Below are 2622 nucleotides of genomic sequence, written 5' to 3'. Positions count from 1 at the left end.
GGCTTTGACCTTCAGTAACCACCACACTCTTCAGTTAGCAGCGACAACACGGAGGCAAGACCTTCCACCAGCAAAAGATTATGGCTAGCTGAAGGCTCAGTTAATCATTAGCTTTTTTTTAATATAGTATTTTTAAATTAATATCTGCATATTTTTTAGACATAATACTGTTACTCATTTAATAGATATAACATAAACAAAACTTTCTATATGCACTGGGAAACCAAAAAATTTGTGTGACTCCCTTTGTTAAGTTATTCACTTGATTGCAGTGGTCTGGAACTAAGCCTGCAATATCTCTGACACATTTCCGTAAATAAATGCTGTCTGAGCTCATTTGGTTATACAATTATGGCTAACAGTAGCAACTTCGAGCTTTGAGGAAGGAGATTAAAAAATGTAACATGGCCCAGCTCTGCGACTGTGTGGTCATGGGTAATTACATAACTTCAATGTGCTTCAACACAGTTCTCTACAATAATAATAATAACGAAATATATAAATAATAATGAAACCAACCTCAAAAACTTATTGTGAGGAATAAATAAGTTAATATAGTTTAAGAGCTTAAGTCAGATCATGGACCATAATGAGTGCTATACAATTATGATGAAGGTGATAAATTGAAGTAAATAGCTGCAAAGATTGTGAAGACAGTCTTGAAGAAAATAAAAATGTTCTTAGCAATACAATCAATATCTACTGCTTATGTAAAATGAATGCTGATTAGAACAAAAACAGAAGCCAGTACATAATCACCCCAGTTTAGAATGTCTGAGACATAGACTCACTGAGAGACACAAAAATAGACCAGCAGAATGAAAAAAGAAAGAAAGAAAAAAATATGGATAAGACTGGAACAGAGTCCAAATGTTTTCTTCAGTTACTTAGAAGAAAATACGTATATCTGAAACTTACATACTATATAGTATACATATATATAGTTATTTTGTTTTAGCTATTGATGAAGGGGGAATACTTTTTTCCTCAGCCATTTCTGGGGTCGTGGCTGAGGCATCTATAATAAAAGATTATCAAGAGAAAAAATGGCTAGGTACAGTGGCTTACTCCTATAATCTCAGCTACTCAGGACGCTGAGGTGGAAGGATCACCCGAGCCTAAGAGTTCAAGGCAACAGTGAGGTATGATCACGCACTGCACCCTAATCTGGATAACAGAGAGACCCTCTCTCTAAAAAATTGACAATAATAATAAAAAACAAAAAGAGAATCATACAAATTCATTTAATACAACTTCTACATGACACAGTAGCCTTCAGAAATGAAGACACTACAAAAAAGGGAAACCTGTATATTTTTATGGTTAGGTTTGATAAAAATGGATAGTTGTAGAGATGTATGACTGGGCAAAAAGGGTAAAATCCAATAGTAATAAAGTGGAGGGAACTTAGCAAGTCTTGTTTATTCAGATTCTTCTGTGTTCCTGTGTCTTCAGATATAAAGACATTCCCTTTTTCTGGATATAAGGAGGGTTCCTCTCAAATGAGGGTCTCATGACCTTCTTCAGAAGAAGGTCAGAGCATTTTTTATGGCCTGCTTCATGGGAGAAGGGTATAGATAAAACAAGTTTTTCCATTATGTGGTAATTGAAAAAGCCTGGTGACAGCAACAGAAGTCAAAATATTACTATTTATCTTTACTTTTAGTTTTATGTGAGTTTGTCCGTAATCTAAAGCTTTAAAAAATGTGGTCAGAGACAGTTACAGAAAAAGTGATTGGAATTTGATCTTATCATCAGGGGATAAAAACTTCTACTAGGTCTTAGACCATGTCACATTTTTTGATCTCCTTTCTGGTAGCAGCAGCAGCAGGTCCAAGTTGTTATTGTCAATCATGACATTTGTGTTAACAAATAAGCAAAAACAGCATTTATATATTGCTATCTGATAGAGTTTGGCTCTGTATCCCCTCCCAAATCTCATCTCTAGTTGTAATCCTCACATCTCCAGGGAGGGACCTGGAATCCCCACATGCTGAGGGAGGGAGTTGACTGGATCATGGTGACGGTTTCCCCCATGCTGTTCTTGTGATACTGAGTGATTTCTCATGAGATCCAACGGTTTTTTAAGTGTTTGGAAGTTCCTCTTTCGCACTTTGCTTTCTCTCCTACCGCTTTGTGAAGGTTCCTTTTTCCACTTCTGCCATGAGTGTAAGTTTCCTGAGGCTTCCCCAGCCATGCAGAACTGTGAGTCAATTAAATCTCTTTTCTTTATAAATTACCCAGTCTCAGGGAAGTTCTTAATAGCAGTGTGAAAACAAACTAATACACTATCCATCCATGGATTTACTAAATTGAGTGAGCATCAGAATCACCTATGAGGCTTACAATAAACAAATTGTTGGTATCCTTCTCTTTAAGAGTTTCCAAATCAGTAATTCTGGGGAGAGGGCCCAGAATGTGGATTTCTAATAAGGCCCTAGTTGATGCTACTGCTGCTGCTAAAGGAACCACATTTTGAGAACCTTTTCTCTAGCCTGTTGATATGGTTTGGCTGTGTCCCCACCCAAAATCTCATCTTGAATTGTAATCCGAATTGTAAGCCCCATGTGCTGGCAGCAGAACTTTGTGGGAGGTGATTAGATCATAAGGGCCATTTCCCCA

This window comes from Homo sapiens, chromosome 13 (assembly GCF_000001405.40).
Source record: "Homo sapiens chromosome 13, GRCh38.p14 Primary Assembly".
Taxonomy (NCBI): Eukaryota; Metazoa; Chordata; class Mammalia; order Primates; family Hominidae; genus Homo; species Homo sapiens.
Note: the sequence above shows the minus strand (reverse complement) of the source record.